Source organism: Homo sapiens, chromosome 8 (assembly GCF_000001405.40).
Source record: "Homo sapiens chromosome 8, GRCh38.p14 Primary Assembly".
Taxonomy (NCBI): Eukaryota; Metazoa; Chordata; class Mammalia; order Primates; family Hominidae; genus Homo; species Homo sapiens.
In genome coordinates, this window is record NC_000008.11 from 94,552,727 (window position 1) to 94,571,403 (window position 18,677).

Sequence of the window (18,677 nt, forward strand, 5' to 3'; positions counted from 1 at the left end):
AACATTCCACCTCCAACCTCAAAGGAGATGTCTGCTGATGAGTTTAACTATAATTCTCTCAACTCTCCCCTCTTCGCAAGTATTCTCCGTGAATGCATCTCATTCCTAATGTGTGAAATCTCTCCGAGAGACAAGTATTAAAGTTTCAGGCCAAATCGGAGAGCACCGTAATCCTAAACCAAGTAAGTGTCACAACTGGGGAACATAATTCCCGACAGAAAAGAGGCCAAAGAGAAAGGATTTAGAAACATCGTGATTCGGAAACCACGAAGCCAACGTAAACTGCTCAGACTCCGGCACTACTGTCAAACACTACTGGCAAACCAAGACCCCTCCCAAACGCCATCTGAGGTAAACCTGAGAACCCTGATCCTTCTCAAGGCCCAAACCTGACAGGAAAAATAAAAAATAAAGCCATGCAAGCAGAAAAGCCAACTCGACCAAAGACACGGAGGGCCCAAGTTAAAGCAAGGAAATGAAGGGGCTGCTGCAGCCCTCCCTCAGACGCGATGCTCACACAGCTCGGGGGAGGGTGTCTGTGTGTAAGCGAGAAATTAAAGAAGCAATCTGCAGAAGGAAAAGTGGAGAACGCCTAACGGTTTTTTTGTAAAGATCCCAAGTCAAGAAGCAGCGTCAGAATCAAGTCGCCAAGCCTTACCTCAGCGCTCGGGTGTTTAAAAGTATCTAAAAATAACAGCTCCATCGCCGAGTCCACCGCCATGTTTGCCGCGGGCGGGGAACAGGGGGGAGGACTTCCGGGGCAGCGCTCCAGCCTCCGCGACAGCGACTCAGGAGAGGGAGAAACAGAGGGACTTCCGGTGACCAGAGCACTAGCGCCGCAAACCTCGGCCTATCCCAACGCATCTTGTTGCCCGGAGTTGCCGGCCCCGCCTTTTCCAGCGCGGCGGAGGGCGCCCCCTAGAACGCAGAGGGGGGGCAGAGGGAAGTGAGATGGGGACTACGGGGTCTCCAGTGGTTCAAACCCTGTCGTTCCTCCGCGTTACAGAGCTACAGCGGTCTCCGGGTGGCGAAGTGCGGAGACGGGGTTTTGGAGACGGTGGATGGAGGAGGGGGAGGGAAAGCTGCCAACTTTGGATACCAACCCCGTACACCCACCGAAGGGGATGTCCCACTTTTTCCAGCGCTGGGAGCAAAAAGATAACAGTGAGCGAGGTTGAAAAGTAAGACATTGATTTAAATAGAAGAAAAACTGTTGTTTCAACCAACGAAGAGATTCTTTGTTTTCTTATCTGTAAAATGTGAAAAATCGTACCTAACCTACAGGGTGATTGTGAGGAGTAATTGAAATAAAATTCGAGGAATTGTGTAACGTGAAGTACCATGAACAATAAAACAGGAGGCAGAATGAAAAGTAAGCCTCTCTGTCGGGTGTTGATGAGCTTTGGAGCAACGAGATAAACTCAGCGGGTTTGGTAGTCTAAATGGCACAAACCCTTAGCAGAGCAACTAGGAAATAGCTTGTAAAATTACACGTGCCTACCACTCTTCTAGGAAAATTCTCGCCCACGTATCTACAAATACAAGAATATTCATAGCAAACTTTATAAGTTGCAAAAGAGCAGGAAACATAAGTGCCATTGACAGAAGTAATAAGTAAATAGTGGCGTATTTATATAATAGTATATAGCAGGTACGAAGAATGAACCAGTGCTATGTTTACTAGCATGAAAAACCCAAAAAACAGGGTTGGTGGGCGCTTTGGCTCACGCCTGTAATCCAGCACTTAGGGAGGATGAAGCGGGAGGATCGCTTGAGCCCAGGAGTTGGAGAACTGCCTGGGCAATATAGCGAGACCCCGTTATTCACAAAAAGAAAAAAAAAAGACACAAACCAAAACAAAACAAGTTTAACTCCTCTCATCGCAAGCCGGGTGCGGTGGCGTGTTCCTGTGGTCCCAACTTCTCGGGAAGCTGAGACAGGAGAATCTCTTAAGCCCAGGAGTTGGAGGCCAGTGGGGACACCCATCTCTTAGAAAAGGAAATAAAAAATATATAGTGTAAAATAACATCTATATATTTAAAAACGTGCAAAAGAATATAAAATTTTAGGAGTGTACATATGTCATGAAATTATAAAGTCATGTATTGGAGTAACTAAAATTTCAAGATAGTGGTAAACTGGAAGGAGATGTAATGGAGAAGAACAGAAAGGCTTCACATGCCTTGGTAATGTTTTGTTATTTAGGTTAATGTTAATTTCACAAGCATGCCTTATATTATTGTTTGTACCTTCTGGTATGTCTGAAATATTTAATAATAAATGAATTTCTAAAGTAAATCTCCTCTCCACATCCTTCCTCAGCCATCCAGTTTCCTCTATTAGCTAGCTATAGTTTATCTTTTATTATTTGTTCTTGCATTGATATTTATTGCTTTTAATATTTTTCTGTTTTCTGATTCTTGCCTCTTTTTTTTTTTAGAAACAGGGTCTTGCTTCGTTGCCCAGCCTGGTCTCAAACTCTTGGCTTCAAGCAATCCTCCTGCCTCAGCCTCCCAAAGTGCTGTGATTATAGGCGTGAGCCACCGTGCCCCCCCCCTTCTTCTGTGTTTAGGCTTATATGCTGTTCTCTAATTTCTACCACTGATGTTTATTTTTATTCATATTTCTTATTTATTACTATATGTATTTATATAAATTTTCCCCTAAGCTCTCCCTTAACCAATGTACTATATAGTGCTTTTATAGTTGTCATTTTTACAGTCTGATTTTCTTAGCATTGATATCCTTTTTTTTTTTACATTTTTATTTTTATTTCAACAGTTTTGAGGGAACAGGTGATGTTTGGTTGCATGGAAAAGTTCTTTAGTGGTGATCTCTGAGGTTTTGGTGCACCCATCACCTGAGCAGTGTATACTGTATCCAATGTGTATGTAGTCTTTTATCCCTCACTCCCTCGCCCACCCTTCCCCGCCGCCAGTCCCCAAAGTCCATTATATAATTCTTAGGAGTTTGCATCCTCATAGCTTAGCTCCTGCTTAATAGTGAGAACATGCCATGTTTTGTTTTCCATTCCTGAGTTGCTTCACTTAGAATGATGGTCTCCAGCTCCATCCAGGTTGCTGCAAATGCCATTATTTTGTTCCTTTTTGTGGTTGAGTTAGTAGTATTCCCATATATATTCCCATATATATATATATATATATATATATATATATATATATATATATATATGTAGTATTCCCATATGTATATATATGTATATACACCACATTTTCTTTATCCACTCGTTGGTCGATGGGCATTTAGGCTGGTTCTGTATTTTGGCAACTGTGAGCTGTGCTGCTATAAACGTGTGTGCAAGTGTCTTTTTCATATAATGACTTCTTTTCCTTTGAGTAGATACCCAGTAGTGGGATTATTGGATCAAATGGTAGTTCTACTATTAGTTCTTTAAGGAATCTACATACTGTTTTCCATAGTGGTTGTACTGGTTTACATTCCCACCAGCAGTGTAAAAGTGTTCCCCTTTCACCACATCCATGCCAACATCTGTTTTTTTTTATTTTTTAATTATGGCCATTCTTGCAGGAGTAAGGTGGTATCTCATTGTGGTTTTGATTGGCATTTCCCTGATAATTAATGATGTTGAGCATTTTTTCATTTCTTTATTGGCAATTTATATATATATATATATATATTTGTTGTTGTTGTTTTGTTTTGGTTTTTGAGACGGAGTCTTGCTCTGTTGCGCAGGCTGGAGTGCAATGACTCGATCTTGGCTGACTGCACCCTCTGCCTCCCTGGTTGAAGCAATTTTCCTGCCTCAGCCTCCTGAGTAGCTGGGACTGCAGGCGTGCACCACCACCCCCAGCTAATTTTTGTATTTTTAGTAGAGATGGGGTTTCACCATGTTAGCCAGGCTAGTCTTGAACTCCTGGCCTCAGACAATGCTCGCCTCGGCCTCCCAAAGTGCTGGGATTATAGGCGTGAGCCACTGTGTCCGGTGAATTTGTATATTTTCTTTTAAGAATTGTCTATTCATGTCCTTTGCCCACTTTTTGATGGGATAATTTATTTTTTTCTTGCTGATTTGTTTGAGTTATTTGTAGATTCTGGATATTAGCCCTTTGTTGGATACGTAGTTTGTGAAGATTTTTCTCCCACTCAATGGATTGTCTGTTTACTCTGCTGATTATTTCTTTTGCTGTGCAGAAGCTTTTTAATTTAATTAGGTCCCATCTATTTACCTTTGTTTTTGTTGTATTTGCTTTTGGATTATTGGTCATGAACTCTTTGCCTAAGCCAGTGTGTACAAGAATTTTTCCTATGTTATCGTCTAGAATTTTTAGTTTCAGGTCTCAGATTTAAGTCTTTGATCCATTGTGAGTTGATTTTTGTATCAGGCACAGATGGGGATCCAGTTTCCTTCTTCTACATGTGGCTTGCGAATCATCCCAGCACCATTTGTTGAATAGGGTGTCCTTTCCCCACTTTATGTTTTTGTATGCTTTGTCAAAGATCAGTTGGCTGTAAATATTTGGCTTTATTTCTGGGTTCTCTATTATGTTGCACTGATCTACATGCCTACTTTTATACCAGTACCATGCTGTTTTGGTAACTATAGCCTTGTGGTATAGTTTGAATTCAGAGGGTGTGTTGCCTCCAGATTTGTTCTTTTTGCTTAGTCTTGCTTTGGCTATCTGGGGTCTTTTTTTGTTTCATATGAATTTTAGGATTTTTTTTTCAAGTTCTTTGAAGAATGATGATGGTATTTGAATGCAAATTGCATTGAATTTATAGATTGCTTTTGTCAGTATTGTCATTTTCACAATATTGATTCTGAAGCAGCATCATTGTCTGGGGTAATACCCAAGGCTTGTTGTCTCACACCAAGGGAATCGAGGATGTGGACACACACATGAAGTGAGGTTTAATAGCACAAGAAAGAGAAAGGAGAACAGCTCCCTCTCTTGAAGGGGGGGAGGGAGAGAGAGGGAGAGAGACAGACAGACAGACAGACATGGGGGCAGCTCCCTAATGGGAATTCTAGCCCACGGGGGAGTGCACCAGATTTTATAGACAGGCTTGAGGAGGCAGTGTCTGATTTACATAGGGCCCACAGATTGGTTGGACCGGGTGTGATGTTTACATAGTGTGCGAGGAAGCTGGCTGCCCTACCCTAATCTTATTATGCAAATAGGCTTTCCACTTGGTCAGTACCATGTTGTCTGCTCCCTACTGCACACACGGTTGGAAAAGAAAAGGGAAGATGGAGCCACCATTTTGAACATGCCTAGTCCCAGGTGGCCTTTTCCTATTGGCACAACTGCTGGCATTCACCCATGCAAGCTTCCAGCTTGCTTGTACATGTGTGCAGCTCCATTTTACAGGCTGCTCTTTGTTAGAAACAAGATGATTTGGGGGCTGCTTTTCATTAAAAGGAAAACCTTACTGAGAACTTCCTCACCCTCACTATCTGCCTAAATAATTTCTCTTTAACTCCTATATCAAAATTCCGGCCCGGGCGCTGTGGCATATGCCTGTAATCCCAGCACTTTGGAAGGCTGAGGCGAGCAGATCACTTGAGGTCAGGAGTTCAAGACTAGCCTGGCCAACATGGCAAAACCCTAGCTCTACTAAAAATACAAAAATTAGCCAGGTGTAGTGGCATGTGCCTGTAGTCCCAGCTACTTGAGAGGCTGAGGCAGGAAAATTGCTTGAACCCAGGAAGCAGAGGTTGCAGTGAGCTGAGATTGTGCCATTGCACTCCAGCCTGGGTGACGGAGTAAGACGCCTCAAAAAATTAATTAATTAATTAAATAAATAAAATAAAATTCTTCCCATCCATGAGTGTGGGATGTGTTTCCATTTGTTTGTGTCATCTATTATTTCTTTCAGCAGTGTTTTGTAGTTTTCCTTGTAGAGATCTTTCACCTCCTTGGTTAGGTGTATTTCTAAGTATTTTATTTTATTTTTTTTGCAGATGCTGTAAAAGAGGTTGAGTTCTTGATTTGATTCTCAGCTTGGTCATTGTTGATGTAAAGCAGTGCTACTGATTTGTGTACATTGATTGTGTATCCTGTCAGATCTAGGAGCTTTTTGGATGAGTCTTTAGGGTTTTCTAGGTATACTGTCATATCATCAGCGAACAGCAACAGTTTGACTTTCTCTTTACTGATTTAAATGCCCTTTATTTCTTTCTCGTCTGATTGCTCTGGCTAGGACTTCCAGTACTATGTTGCATAGAAGCGGTGAAAGTGGGCATCCTTATCTTGTTCCACTTTGCTGTGGGAATGCTTTCAACTTTTCCCCATTCAGTGTAATGTTGGCTGTGGGTTTGTCATAGATGGCTTTTATTACCTTGAGGTATGTCCCATCTATAATGATTTTGCTGAGGGTTCTAATCATAAATGGAGGCTGGATTTTGTCAGGTGCTTTTTCTGCATCTATTGAGATAATAATGATTTTTGTTTTTAATACTGTTTGTATGATGTATCACATTTTATTGACTTGCATATGGTAAACTATCCCTGCATCCCTGATATGAAACCCAACTTGATTGTGGTGGATTATCTTTCTGATATGCTGTTGGATTTGGTTAGCTAGTATTTTGTTGAGGATTTTTGCATCTGTGTTCACCAGGGATATTGGTCTGTAGTTTTCTTTTTTTGTTATATCCTTTCCAGGTTTTGGTATAAGGGTGATACTAGCTTCATAGAATGATTCAGGGAGGATTCCCTCTTTCTCTATTTTTTGGAATAGTTTCAATAGGATTGGTACCAGCTCTTCTTTGAATGTCTGATAGAATTCAGCTGTGAATCCACATGGTCCTGGACTTTTTTTCCATTGGCAATTTTTAAATTACTGTTTTAATCTCACTACTTGTTACTGGTCTGTTCAGAATTTCTGTTTCTTTTTTATTTAATCCAGGAGGGCTGTATATGCAGGAATGTATCCACCTCTTCTAGATTTTCTAGTTTGTGTGTGTAAAGATGTTCATAGTAGCCTTGAATGATCTTTTGTATTTCTGTGGTATTAGTTGTAATACTTCCTGTTTCATTTCTAATTGAACTTATGTGGATCTTCTGTCTTCTTGGTTAATCTCACTAACTGTCTATCTCTTTTGAAAGAACCAGCTTTTTGTTTCATTTATCTTTTATATTTATTTGTTTCAATCTTATTTAATTTGGCTCTGATCTTTGTTATTTCTTTTCTTCTGCTGGGTTTGAGTTTGGTTTGTTCTTGTTTCTGTAGTTATTTGAGGTGTGACCTTAGATTTCTATTTGTACTCTTTCACACTTTTTGATGTAGGCATTCAATGCTATGAACTTTCTCCTCTTAGCACGACTTTTGCTGTGTCCCAGAGTTTTTGATAAGTTGCATCACTATTATCATTCAAATAATTTTTTAATTTCCATCTTGATTTCACTGTTGACCCACAGACCATTCAGGAGCAGATTATTTAATTTCCACGTATTTGTATAGTTTTAAGGGTTCCTTTTGGAGTTAATTTCCAATTTTATTTCACTGTGGTCTGTGAGGGTACTAATATAATTTCAATTTTCTTAAATTTATTGAAACTTGTCCTGTGGCCTATCATATGGTCTCTCTTGGACAATGTTCTATGTACCGATGAAAAGAATATATATTCTGAAGTTGTTGGATAGAATGTTCTGTAAATATCTGTTAAATCTTATTTGTTCTAGGGTATAGTTTAAGTCCATTGTTTCTTTGTTGACTTTCTGTCTTCATGACCTGTCTAGTGTTATCAGTGGAGTATTGAAGTCCCCCACTATTATTGTGTTGCTGTCTGTCTCATTTCTTAGGTCTAGTCGTAATTGTTTTATGAATTTGGGAGCTCCAATGTTAGGTGCATATATATTTAGGATTATGATATTTTCCTGTTGGACTAATCATTTTATCATTACATAATGTCCCTCTTTGTCTTCTTTTTAACTGTTGTTGCTTTAAAATCTTGTTTGTCTGATATGAGAATAGCTACTCCTGCTTGTTTTTGGTTTCCATTTGCATGGAATGTCTTTTTCCACCCCTTTACCTTAAGTTTATGTGATTCCTTATGTGTTGGATGAGTCTCTTGAAGATAGCAGATACTTGGTTGGTGAATTTTTATCCATTCTACCATTCTGTATCTTTTAAGTGGGGCATTTAGGCTATTTACATTCAACATTAGTACTGAGAGGTGAGGTACTGTTTATTCATCATGCTAGATGAATAGAATAGGGCCAATGGGGTTATGTTCCAGAGGGGATTATGGCTGTCTCTGTTGCCAGGGAAGTGGGAGAAAACCAGTAGTGATAGGCCTCACCCAGCTCCCACGCAGTTGACGGGGCCAGTCTCATTTCTACTGTGGCCCTGCTAACAGCACCAACTTTATCTCCAGGCAACCTTCAGGCAAGAGTCAGACCTAGCCCCAGGCTGTAAGTTTCCCCACTGAGAAAGCAAATATGGCTTTCAAGCCATGCCTCACCCCACCTGCCCACACTCTCCACCATAACTCCTGCTCTCCTATCTGCAGCAGTTTTCGTTTGCCCCTGGATTCTGCTCAAGAGAGTTCATGCCCAGTCAAAATTATTACAGAGTTCATTTAGAAGTTTCTTTCACCCTGTGACCCCTCCCGAATTCTACCAGCTACTTTCCCTGAGGGCCCCTATGAGATATAGTCGGGGTTGTCTTCCCTGGGCTTGAACTGGAGAATGGCAGTGCCTACTTGGCTCTTCCCACTGCTGCTTCTACTTTTATATTTCACGCTAAATCTGTTTCAGCTCTAGGTACGGTTAAATCCCTCTTCCATAATCTGGATTTTTGGATTCCCCAGTGGGGATGTGTGTCCAGATGCAGGTTTTCTACCTCTCACACTTTGGGAACTCACAGTTTTTCACCAGTCTTGAAGAATTGGCAGCGGCCTGCCACTTCTTTCAAAGGATCTGTGATTTCTTTTGGTCTTCCTGGTTCACTTCTGCAGTGGTTCCTGGAGCAAGTGTCCATGGTGTGAGTCTTCACACGCTGTTCTGTCCATCCAAGGGGGAGCTGCACATCAGCCCTGTCTCCTATCTGCCATCTTCCTTGGTCTTCCTGATATCCTTTGTGACCCAAAAGTAGTGTGAGTTAGCTATTTAAAATTAATAGACTAAGTTTAGAGCAGTTTTGTTACCAGAAAGTGGTCCCGATCTAGACCCCAAGAGAGGGTTCTTGGATCTCTTGCAAGAAATAATTCAGGATGAGTCCATAGATAGAAGTGAAAGCAAGTTTATTAAGAAAGTAGAGAAATAAAAGAATGACTACTCCATAGACAGATCAGCCGCAAGGGCTGCTGGTTGCCCATTTTAATGTTTATTTCTTGATTATACACTAAACAAGGGGTGGATTATTCTTGCCTCCCCTTTTTACACCATATAGGGCAACTTCCTGACGTTGCCATGACATTTATAAACTGTCATGGTGCTGGTGGGAGTATAGCAGTGAGGACAACCAGAAGTCACTCTTGTCACCATCTTGGTATTGGTGGGTTTTAGCCGGCTTCTTTACTGCAACCCGTTTTATCAGCAAGGTCTTTATGATCTGTATCTTGTGCTGACCTCCTATCTTATCCTGTGACTTAGAATCCCTAACCGTCTGGGAATGCAGCCCAGTGGGTCTCAGCCTCGTTTCACCCAGCCTATATACAAGATGGAATCTCTTTGGTTTAAACACTTCTGACAGTTTTACTGTATAAAAAATTGAGCAGATAGTACAGAGAGTTCCCATATACTCTCTCTTTCCCCATTTAAAGATTCCTCTATTATTGTCTTGCAGTAGCTTGGTACTTTTACTACAATTGATGAACCAGTAGTGATACATTATTATTAAATGAAGTCCATAGTTTACATTAGGATTTACTTTTAGTGTTGTATAGTTTCGACAAATATATAATGCCATTTATCTGCCCTTACGGTCTAATACAGAATAGTTTCACTGTCCTAAAAATTCCTTGTGCTCCACCTTTTTATCTCTCCCTCTGTCCTCACAACCACTGATCTTTTTTACTGTTTATATAGTTTGCCTTTTTCAGAATGTAATATAATTAGAATCATACAGTATGGACCCATTTCAGACCAGCTTTTTTCCCTAAGTAATATGCATCTGAGTTTCCTCCATGTATTTTCATGGCTTGATAGCTCATTTGTTTTTATTGCTGAATAAAACTGTCTAGATATAACATAGTTTATCCATCCAAGCAAGACCTTGTCTCTAAGAAAAAGAAACTGCTCTAAAAAGTAAAACCTATTAATTTTTAAAAAGGTAAGAACCATCAGGAATGGTGGCTCATGTCTGTAATCCCAGCACTTTGGAGGACCGAGGCAAGAGGATTGCTTGAGCCCAGGAGTGCAAGACCAGCCTTGGCAACATAGCAAGACCTTTTCTCTACAAATAATATAAATAATTAGCCTGATGTGGTGGTGTGCACCTTTGGTCCTGGCTACCTAGGAGGCTGAGGCTGGAGAATCACTTGAATCCAGAAGGCGGAGGTTGCAGTGAGCCAAGATCATGCCACTGCACTCCAGCCTGGCTGACAGAATGAGACCCCATCTCCAAAAAAAATACAAAAATAAAAATAAGGCCCAACTATATGCTATCTACAGGAAATGCACTTTAAATATAAAGACACAAATGAGTTAATGAGTTAAAAATAAAATATTGGAAAAATGTATACCATGCCAACACTAATCAAAAGAAAGCTGAGTGACTACATTAATATCAAAATAGATTTCAGAGCAAAGAATATTACCAAGGATAATTAACATTATGTCATAATGATACAGGGGTCAATTCATCAGGAATTTGTGACAAGCCTAAATCTTTATATATCTAATAGCAGAACTTCAAAAAACTTGAAGCAAAAACTGATAAAACTGAAGGGAGAATTAGACCAAAAAAAGAGTTAAGAATAACGTGCATAGCATGCTATTTTTTATGCAAAAATACTAATGTATGCTTGAATTTATAGGCTACCTATGAAAGCATTATGTAAGAAACTGATAATACTTGTTGCCTCCAGGAAGGGGAGTTTGATGGCTAGTGTACAGAGAGAGAAGGGAATCTATTCCCATGTATGTATATTACCTATTAAAAATAACCATCCTGGCCAACATGGTGAAATCTCGTCTCTACTAAAAGTACAAAAATTAGCTGGGTGTGGTGGCAGGTGCCTGTAATCCCAGCTACTCAGGAGGCTGAGGCAGGAGAATCGCTTGAACCTGGGAGACAAAGATTGCAGTGAGCCGAGATCACACCATTGCACTCCAGCCTGGGCGACACAGCAAGACTCTGTCTCAAAAAAAAAAAAAAAAAAAATAGAATGTTTGCCAGGCACAGTGGCTTATGCCTGTAATCCCAGCTCTTTGGGAGGCCAAGACAGGAGTATCACTTGTATCCAGGAGCTTGAGACCAGCCTGGGCAACATAGCAAGACCCCATCTCTACAAAAAATAAAAAATTAGTTGCCCACAGTGGCATGTGCCTGAAGCCCCAGCTACTCAGTAGGCTAAGATGGGAGGATCACATGAACCTAAATCGAGGCTGCAGTGAGTCATGATCATGCCACTGCACTCAGTCTGCGTAACAGAGTGAGATCCTATCTCAAAAAATAATAATAATAATAGGCCAGGTGTGGTGGCTCACACCTGTAATCTCAATGCTTTGGGATGCCAAGGCAGAAGGATTGCTTGAGCTGGACAACATGGTGAAACCCTCATCTCCACAAAAAATACAAAAATTAGCCAGGCTTGGTGGTGCATACTTGTGGTTCCAGCTACTCAGGAGGCTGAGGTGGGAGGATTGCTTGCACCCAGGAGGTCAAGGCTGCAGTGTGCCAAGAACATACCACTGCACTCCAGCCTGGGTTTCAGAGCAAGACCCTGTCTCCAAAAGCATAAATAAAAATAGAATTTTTTTTTTTTTGAGACAAAGTCTCGCTCTGTTGCCCAGGTTGGAGTGCAGTGACACGATCTCAGCTCACTGCAAGCTCTGCCTCCTGGGTTCACACCATTCTCTTGCCTCAGCCTCCCGAATAGCTGGGATTACAGGCACCCGCCACCATGCCCAGCTAATTTTTTGTGTTTTTAATGGAGACGAGGTTTCACCGTGTTAGCCAGGATGGTCTCAATCTCCTGACCTCGTGATCCACCCACCTCGGCCTCCCAAAGTCCTGGGATTACAGGCGTGAGCCGCCGTGCCTGGCAAAAAATAGAATTTTTACAGATAAATAAGAACCGAGGAGTAGAGAAAAGTTGTATAAATAACTCTTTCAAAAAACTTTTGTTGGCTTCCTTTCCAATTTGGGCCTGGCAGGATGGCTCCTGCAAAGAAGGGTGGCAAAAAGAAAAAGGGCAGTTCTGCCATCAATGAGGTGGTGACCCGAGAATACACCATCAGCATTCACAAACACATCCATGGAGTGGACTTCAAGAAGTGTGCCCCTCGGCCGAGCGTGGTGGCTTATGCCTGTAATCCCAACACTTTGGGAGGCCAAGGCAGGCGGATCACAAGGTCAGGATTTCAAGACCAGCCTGGCCAACATGGTGAAAACCCATCTCTACTAAAAATACAAAAATTAGCCGGGCGTGGTGCTGGGCGCCTGTCATCCCAGCTACTCGGGAGGCTGAAGCAGGAGAATCGCTTGAACCCCGGAGGTGGAGGTTGCAGTGAGCTGAGATAGTGCCACTGCACTCCAGCCTAGGTGACAGACCAAGACTCCATCTCAGAAAAAAAGAAGCATGCCCCTCAAGCACTCAAAGAGATCCAGAAATTTGCCGTGAAGGAGATGGGAACTCCAGATGTGCGCGTTGATACCAGGCTCAACAAAGCTGTCTGGGCCAAAGGAATAAGTATAAGTAATGTCCCATACCGTATCCATGTGCAGTTTCCAGGAACGTAATGAAGATGAAGATTCACCAAATGAGCTCTATACTTTGGTTACCTATGTACACATTACCACTTTCAAAAATCTACAGTCAGTATGGATGAGAACTAACTGCTGATCATCAAACACATCAAATAAAGTTATAAAATTGCAAAAAATACCACAAACTTTTGTTGCATAGAACAAAGAAATGTGATGGTTGTTGGAGGAGCCTGTCAGGTCAAGAAATAGTGTTTTTAAGATGAGGGATAACAGAATGTGTAGAATTATGGGAATAAAGTAATGAGGAGAGTAACCATGATGATGAAGAGACAGAGGGGACATCTGAGACAGCAAAGTATTTAATAGGTAGAGGTGGTACCTGGTGACCAAATAGTGACCTTTGCTAAAAGGAACACCTACTCTCTGGTAACCAGGGGAAGAAAGAGTCCATGGGTACAAATGCAGATGAGGATATACTATGTGGAAAATGAGGGAGTTCCTTTCTGATGGCTTCTGTCTCAACGAGGTCATTAGCTTGTCAAAAAATAGATGAGGTAAGGCCGGGCACGGTGGCTCACACCTGTAATCCCAGCACTTTGGGAGGCTGAGGCGGGCGGATCACGAGGTCAGAAGATTGAGACCATCCTGGCTAACACATGGTGAAACCCTGTCTCTACTAAAAATACAAAAAAATTAGCCGGGCTTGGTGGCCTTCCACCACATGATGATGCGGAAAGAAGGCCCTCACCAGATGTTAGTGCCTTGATCTTGGACTTCTGAGCTCTGAAACTGTGAGCCAATAAATTTCTGTTTGTTATAAATGAATCATTCTTAGATATTCTGTTATAGCAGCACAAACAAACTAAGACAACAACCTACAGAATGAAAGTATTTACAAATTATATATCTGATTAGGATCTACTCCGTAGAATATAGAAAGAACTCTTACAACTCAACAACAAAAAGACAAACCCCCCAATTTTAAAATGGGCAAAGGACTTGAACAGACATTTTCCAAAGAGGGTGTACAAATGACCAAGAAGCACATGAAAAGATGTTCAGTATCTTTAGTCATTAGGGAAAGGCAAATCAAAACCACAATGAGCCTGGGTGAGGTGGCTCATACCTGTAATTCCAGCACTTAGGGAGGCTGAGGCAGGTGGATCACTTGAGGTCAGGAGTTCGAGAACAGCCTGGCCAACATGGTGAAACCCTATCTCTACTAAAAATACAAAAATTAGCGGGGTTTGATGGTGCATGCCTGTATTCCCAGCTACTCAGGAGGCTGAGGCAGGAGAATCACTTCAACCTGAGAAATGGAGGTTGCAGTGAGCCGAGATCACACCTCTGTACTCCAGCCTTGGCAACAGAGCGAGCCTCTGTCTCAAAAAAAGAAAAACAAAACAAAACAAAAAAACCACAGTGAGATACCACTTCATATCCATTAGGATGGCTAGAATTTTTTTTATATAACAAGTGTTAGCAAGGACATGGAGAAATTGAAACTCTTGTACATTGCTGGTGGGAATGTAAAATGGTGCAGCCACTGTGGAAAGCAGTGTGATGGTTCCTCAAAAAGTTAAGCATAGAATTACCATATAACCCCAAGTCCCACTGCTAGGTATATACTAAAATATTTGAAAATGGGTATTTATTTATTTATTTATTAAATGAGGCAGGATCTTGCTCTGTTGCCCAGGCTGGGGTTCAGTGTTATGATCATAGTTCACTGCAGCCTTGAACTTCTGGGCTCAGGCCGTCCTCCCGCCTAAGCCTCTTGAGTAGCTGGGACTACAGGCACATGCCACTATGTCTTGCTAATTTTTTAAATTGTTTAGAGTGGGTGTTTGTGTGGCGGGGGTCTCACTATGTTGCTCAAGCTTGTCTCTAACTCCTAATCTCAAGCAGTCCTCCTGACATGGACTTCCAAAGTGCTGGGATTACAGGTTTGAGCCACTGTGCCGGCCTGAAAATAGGTATTTAAACAAATACTTATATGTGCATGTTCATAGCAGCACTATTTACAATGGCCAAAAATGTACAAACAACTCAAATATCCATCAGCAAATAAATGCATAAACCAAATATGGCATATACATACCTACTTCCCCCCAATGGCTCCTCCTATCCCTCAGTAGATTTGATGTTCTCTCATTTGTGACTTCAGAGTATATTCCACAGCTTAAGCTTTAGTACCCAACTTGTTTGTGGCCAGAAGAGGTCAGTGTCCCTCTTCTAACCTCTGAGCTGCTTCCCATGTAGTGATTGTATCTCGTTCATTAATACATCCCTAGTACATGGCACATACTAAACACTAAAAATACTTATTGAACAAATTAATTTATTTTGTCCTATTTCAGATCCCATATAGAATTATATATTGCACATCATTTATATGTCAAATGCTTATATTGTACTTTTCTGTTTTTGTTCTTTCATTTTTGCCTCTCTTGCTCATCAGATTATAAAGTATCCCAGGACAGTGCTCTGTAACCAGCCCATAGTAGCTACTGCTATTTTACCAGCTACTGTATCTTTCCTTCTTTGATTTCCAGCACCTGACAGTGAAAAGAGCAATTTGAAGAAAAACAAAATTTATCTTCAATGTGAAAAGCAATTTATAAAAATCCGAATACTTGCCAGGAGCAACTTGACAAAAAAGACAAAGGTGGTAGAAGAAATGTAACCAGCCCACAATTCCAATGTTGATAACAGATGAGCTCCCTTTCAAGGTGACTGACATTTACACAAGTACACAGAGCAAGAAGAAGGTCTGAGTGAACTGCCAAGCATTTTAACTTCTCCTGAGACCAAGTACATCAACAGTTCTCTTGGAAAAGAACAACTGATTTGGGAGTCTAGCAGACTGCCAGCTGCAAGACATTCATCCAGCATCAGGAACACAATGGGCCTTCATTTGCCTGCCTTTCTGAGGGCACCAATCAAAAGTAACAGCTGCCACCTTTTTCTATGAGACTTGATTATAATTTTCTATGGCCAAGGGTTTGCTGTGACACTTCCACATCATTCTTCAGTATGTAGTCCAGAGATTAGCTACAGATTCAAGAAACACAGACTGTAAACTATTATATACAGACATATCTCAAAATAAGCATACCCATTAGTGCCAGCTGCCCTGAAAGACTGAATGACCCCAGCTATTTTCCAAATGTTTTTTCAGAAAGCCATGAACACACCTTTCTGGGATCCTATCTATTTCAAAGACAGGCAAAGCTCTGTGGTTCAGTTCCACCACCCAGTACCAAGCCCACAGTATGCAGACCATACGCCTTACACATGGCCTTTTCTCTTTATGTAATTGCTGTACCATATTCAGCAGATCTAGACTGACTCAAAGCATGTTCCCTCAAGAAGCTCCACAGAAAAAAAGGTTTCTGTGATCAAAAATCATTTGGGAAATGCTGCAAACCCTATCTGCCTCTTAGAGCTTAACCATGCATGTCGGGGCATAATATAAACCTTTTCCAGTCTGGGCCACAGAGTGAGACCCCACCTCTAAAATAATAAATCAATAAACTCTTGAGAAGTACACAGAAAAGAAACTTCTGTAACTTTTTAGGTCTTAATTACAAGCAATTGTAGCTTAATCTAAACTTGCTCTTCACTTTATTTCTATGCTCTTGAAAACTAGTGACATAAGCCTTATGAATTTTTTGTTTGTTTGTTTCTTCTTTTTTTAAGAGAGAGACAGGGTCTCATTCTGTTGCTCAGGTTGGAGTGCAGAGGCACAATCATAGCTCACCGTAACCTTGAATTCCTAGTCTCAAGTAATCCTCCCATCTCAGCCTCCCTAATAACTAGGACTACAGGCACATACCACCACATCTGGCTAGTGTGTGTGTGTGTGTGTGTGTGTGTGTGTGTGTAAAGACAGGGGTCTCATTATGTTCCCCAGGCTGGTCTTGAACTCCTGGGCTTAAGCGATCCTCCCACCGCAGCCTCCCAAAACTTTGGGATTACAGGCATGAGCCACTACACCTGGCTGGATTATTCTTTCTTTAAAAAAATTTTTTTGGCCGGGCGCCGTGACTGTAATCCCGGCACTTTGAGGGGCCGAGGCGGGCGAATCACGAGGTCAGGAGATAGAGACCATCCTGGCTAACACGGTGAAACCCCGTCTCTACTAAAAAAAAATACAAAAAATTAGCCGGGCGAGGTGGCGGGCGCCTGTAGTCCCAGCTACTCGGGAGGCTGAGGCAGGAGAATGGCGTGAACCCGGGGGGCGGAGCCTGCAGTGAGCCGAGATCGCGCCCTGGGCGACAGCGAGACTCCGTCTCAAAAAAAAATAAATAAATAAAAACAAAAATTTTAAGCATAAATACAAAGGTTAGGTAGATTTAAAGATGGCCGGTAGCATGAAGTGAGCTGTCTAAAAAGTTGCTTTTACATAAGAACTTTATGTTACTTGATGAGCAAGTATTAATTGGGCTCTCTGTCTCTTCTTCTCTCTCCCTCTTTCTCTCTCTCTCTCTCTCTGGATCCACTTTCCCTCCTGCATCAGGGAGTCTACTCCTATGTAAATCTTCTGCAGGTTGTGCAGTGGACTTCACCTAGTCTCCCATCTCCAGCTAATTTGGCCAAGAATAGTCACCTGGCGCAAGGTGGGGAGGGAGCTCTCAATTGGCCAGCAACTTCTGACGTGTGACCTGACTGAACAATGAGAGGCTCGAGTGAAATTACCAGCTGGTAGTAGGACAGAGGATATAGATACATGGAATGGAGCTGAGCCAAATTAATGACAAAGGACTAGACAAGAATGACTGTTGATGATCACCTATGCTGAGATCACAAAGCTGCCCCGAGTCCAGAAGCAGGTTCACTGAGGGAGGCTCAACCATGTTACCAATCTTGTTTGAGATTAATGTTCCTTGTTGTAAACCTCAAGTCTGTTTCTTGCAATCAAACCATTCTAAATTGAAACAACTACTTAGAAAGTGTTTCTATGGGTTCAGTGGGACATTTCAACCAAATGAAATATGATAATGATCTTAAATGAACTAACAATAGTGTTGCAGAAATAAAATACAAATACCAGAAAGATAGCCAGGCACAGTGGCTCATGTCTGTAATCCCAGCACCTTGAGGGGCCCAGGCAGGAGGATCCCTTGAGGCCAGGAGTTTGAGACTAGCCATGGCAACATAGCAAGGCCCTGTCTCTATTAAAAAAATAATAATAATAATTTAAAAATTCGCCAGGCACAGTGGTGTGCACCTGTGGTCCCAACTACTCCGGAGGCTGAGGAGGGAGGATCACTTGAGCCCAAGAGTTCAAGGCTGCTATGAGCCATGATCACACCACTGCACTACAGCCTGGGCAACAGAGTGAGACCTTGTCTCTAAAAAAATACAAACAAAATACAGATTTAACCAACTCATGCCCAGCTTAAGTACAGAGTTTAAGAGTGTGCATTTAGAAACTTCATAAGTGTTTGGAATCCTTGAGTGTTTTATTTTGCTTTAATTTTGGTCTTCAGATTCAAAGGGTTATTGTTTGTTTGTTTGTTTGTTTTGAGACGGAATCTCGCTCTGTCACCCAGGCTGGAGTGCAGTGGCGCGATCTCGGCTCACTGCAAGCTCCGCCTCCCGGGTTGACGCCATTCTCCTGCCTCAGCCTCCGGAGTAGCTGGGACTACAGGAGCCCGCCACCACGCCCAGCTAATTTTTTGTATTTTTAGTAGAGACGGGGTTTCACCGTGTTAGCCAGGATGGTCTCTATCTCCTGACCTCGTGATCCGCCCGCCTCGGCCTCCCAAAGTGCTGGGATTACAGGCGTAGCCACAGCGCCCGGCCGATTG

General features: G+C 41.9%; 1 protein-coding gene, 1 long non-coding RNA gene and 1 pseudogene across 9 annotated transcripts in view, besides 1 other annotated feature; 2 read left to right on the plus strand and 1 right to left on the minus strand.

The window, feature by feature from the left end:
* Positions 1–743, minus strand: part of VIRMA (vir like m6A methyltransferase associated) — a 65,781-nt gene extending 65,038 nt beyond the window's left edge. For all 3 annotated transcript variants that reach the window (NM_015496.5, XM_047421677.1, NM_183009.3), the window contains exon 1: positions 659–743. In NM_015496.5, coding sequence (NP_056311.2) covers positions 659–721 — 63 coding nt within the window. In that variant the 5' untranslated portion in view covers positions 722–743. The remainder of the gene's footprint in view (positions 1–658) is intronic.
* Positions 437–1,056: an enhancer, noted in NCBI's record as "active region_27632". NCBI's record gives its function as "activates an Ori minimal core promoter by ATAC-STARR-seq in GM12878 lymphoblastoid cells {active_cell/tissue: GM12878}" and the evidence as "EXISTENCE:reporter gene assay evidence [ECO:0000049][PMID:35858748]".
* On the plus strand, positions 987–17,924 carry VIRMA-DT (VIRMA divergent transcript). Of its 6 annotated transcripts, none has more exons than NR_183270.1 (3): positions 987–1,181; positions 2,441–2,535; positions 15,417–17,924. It is a non-coding gene; the product is annotated as a VIRMA divergent transcript (long non-coding RNA). The 6 variants fall into 6 exon arrangements; NR_183267.1 differs by lacking the exon at positions 2,441–2,535 and having other exon boundaries at positions 15,323–15,809; positions 17,384–17,924; NR_183266.1 differs by lacking the exon at positions 2,441–2,535 and having other exon boundaries at positions 15,417–15,809; positions 17,384–17,924.
* Positions 12,283–12,964, plus strand: LOC100286997 (ribosomal protein L31 pseudogene; annotated as a pseudogene).
* Positions 17,925–18,677: the final 753 nt, after the last annotated feature.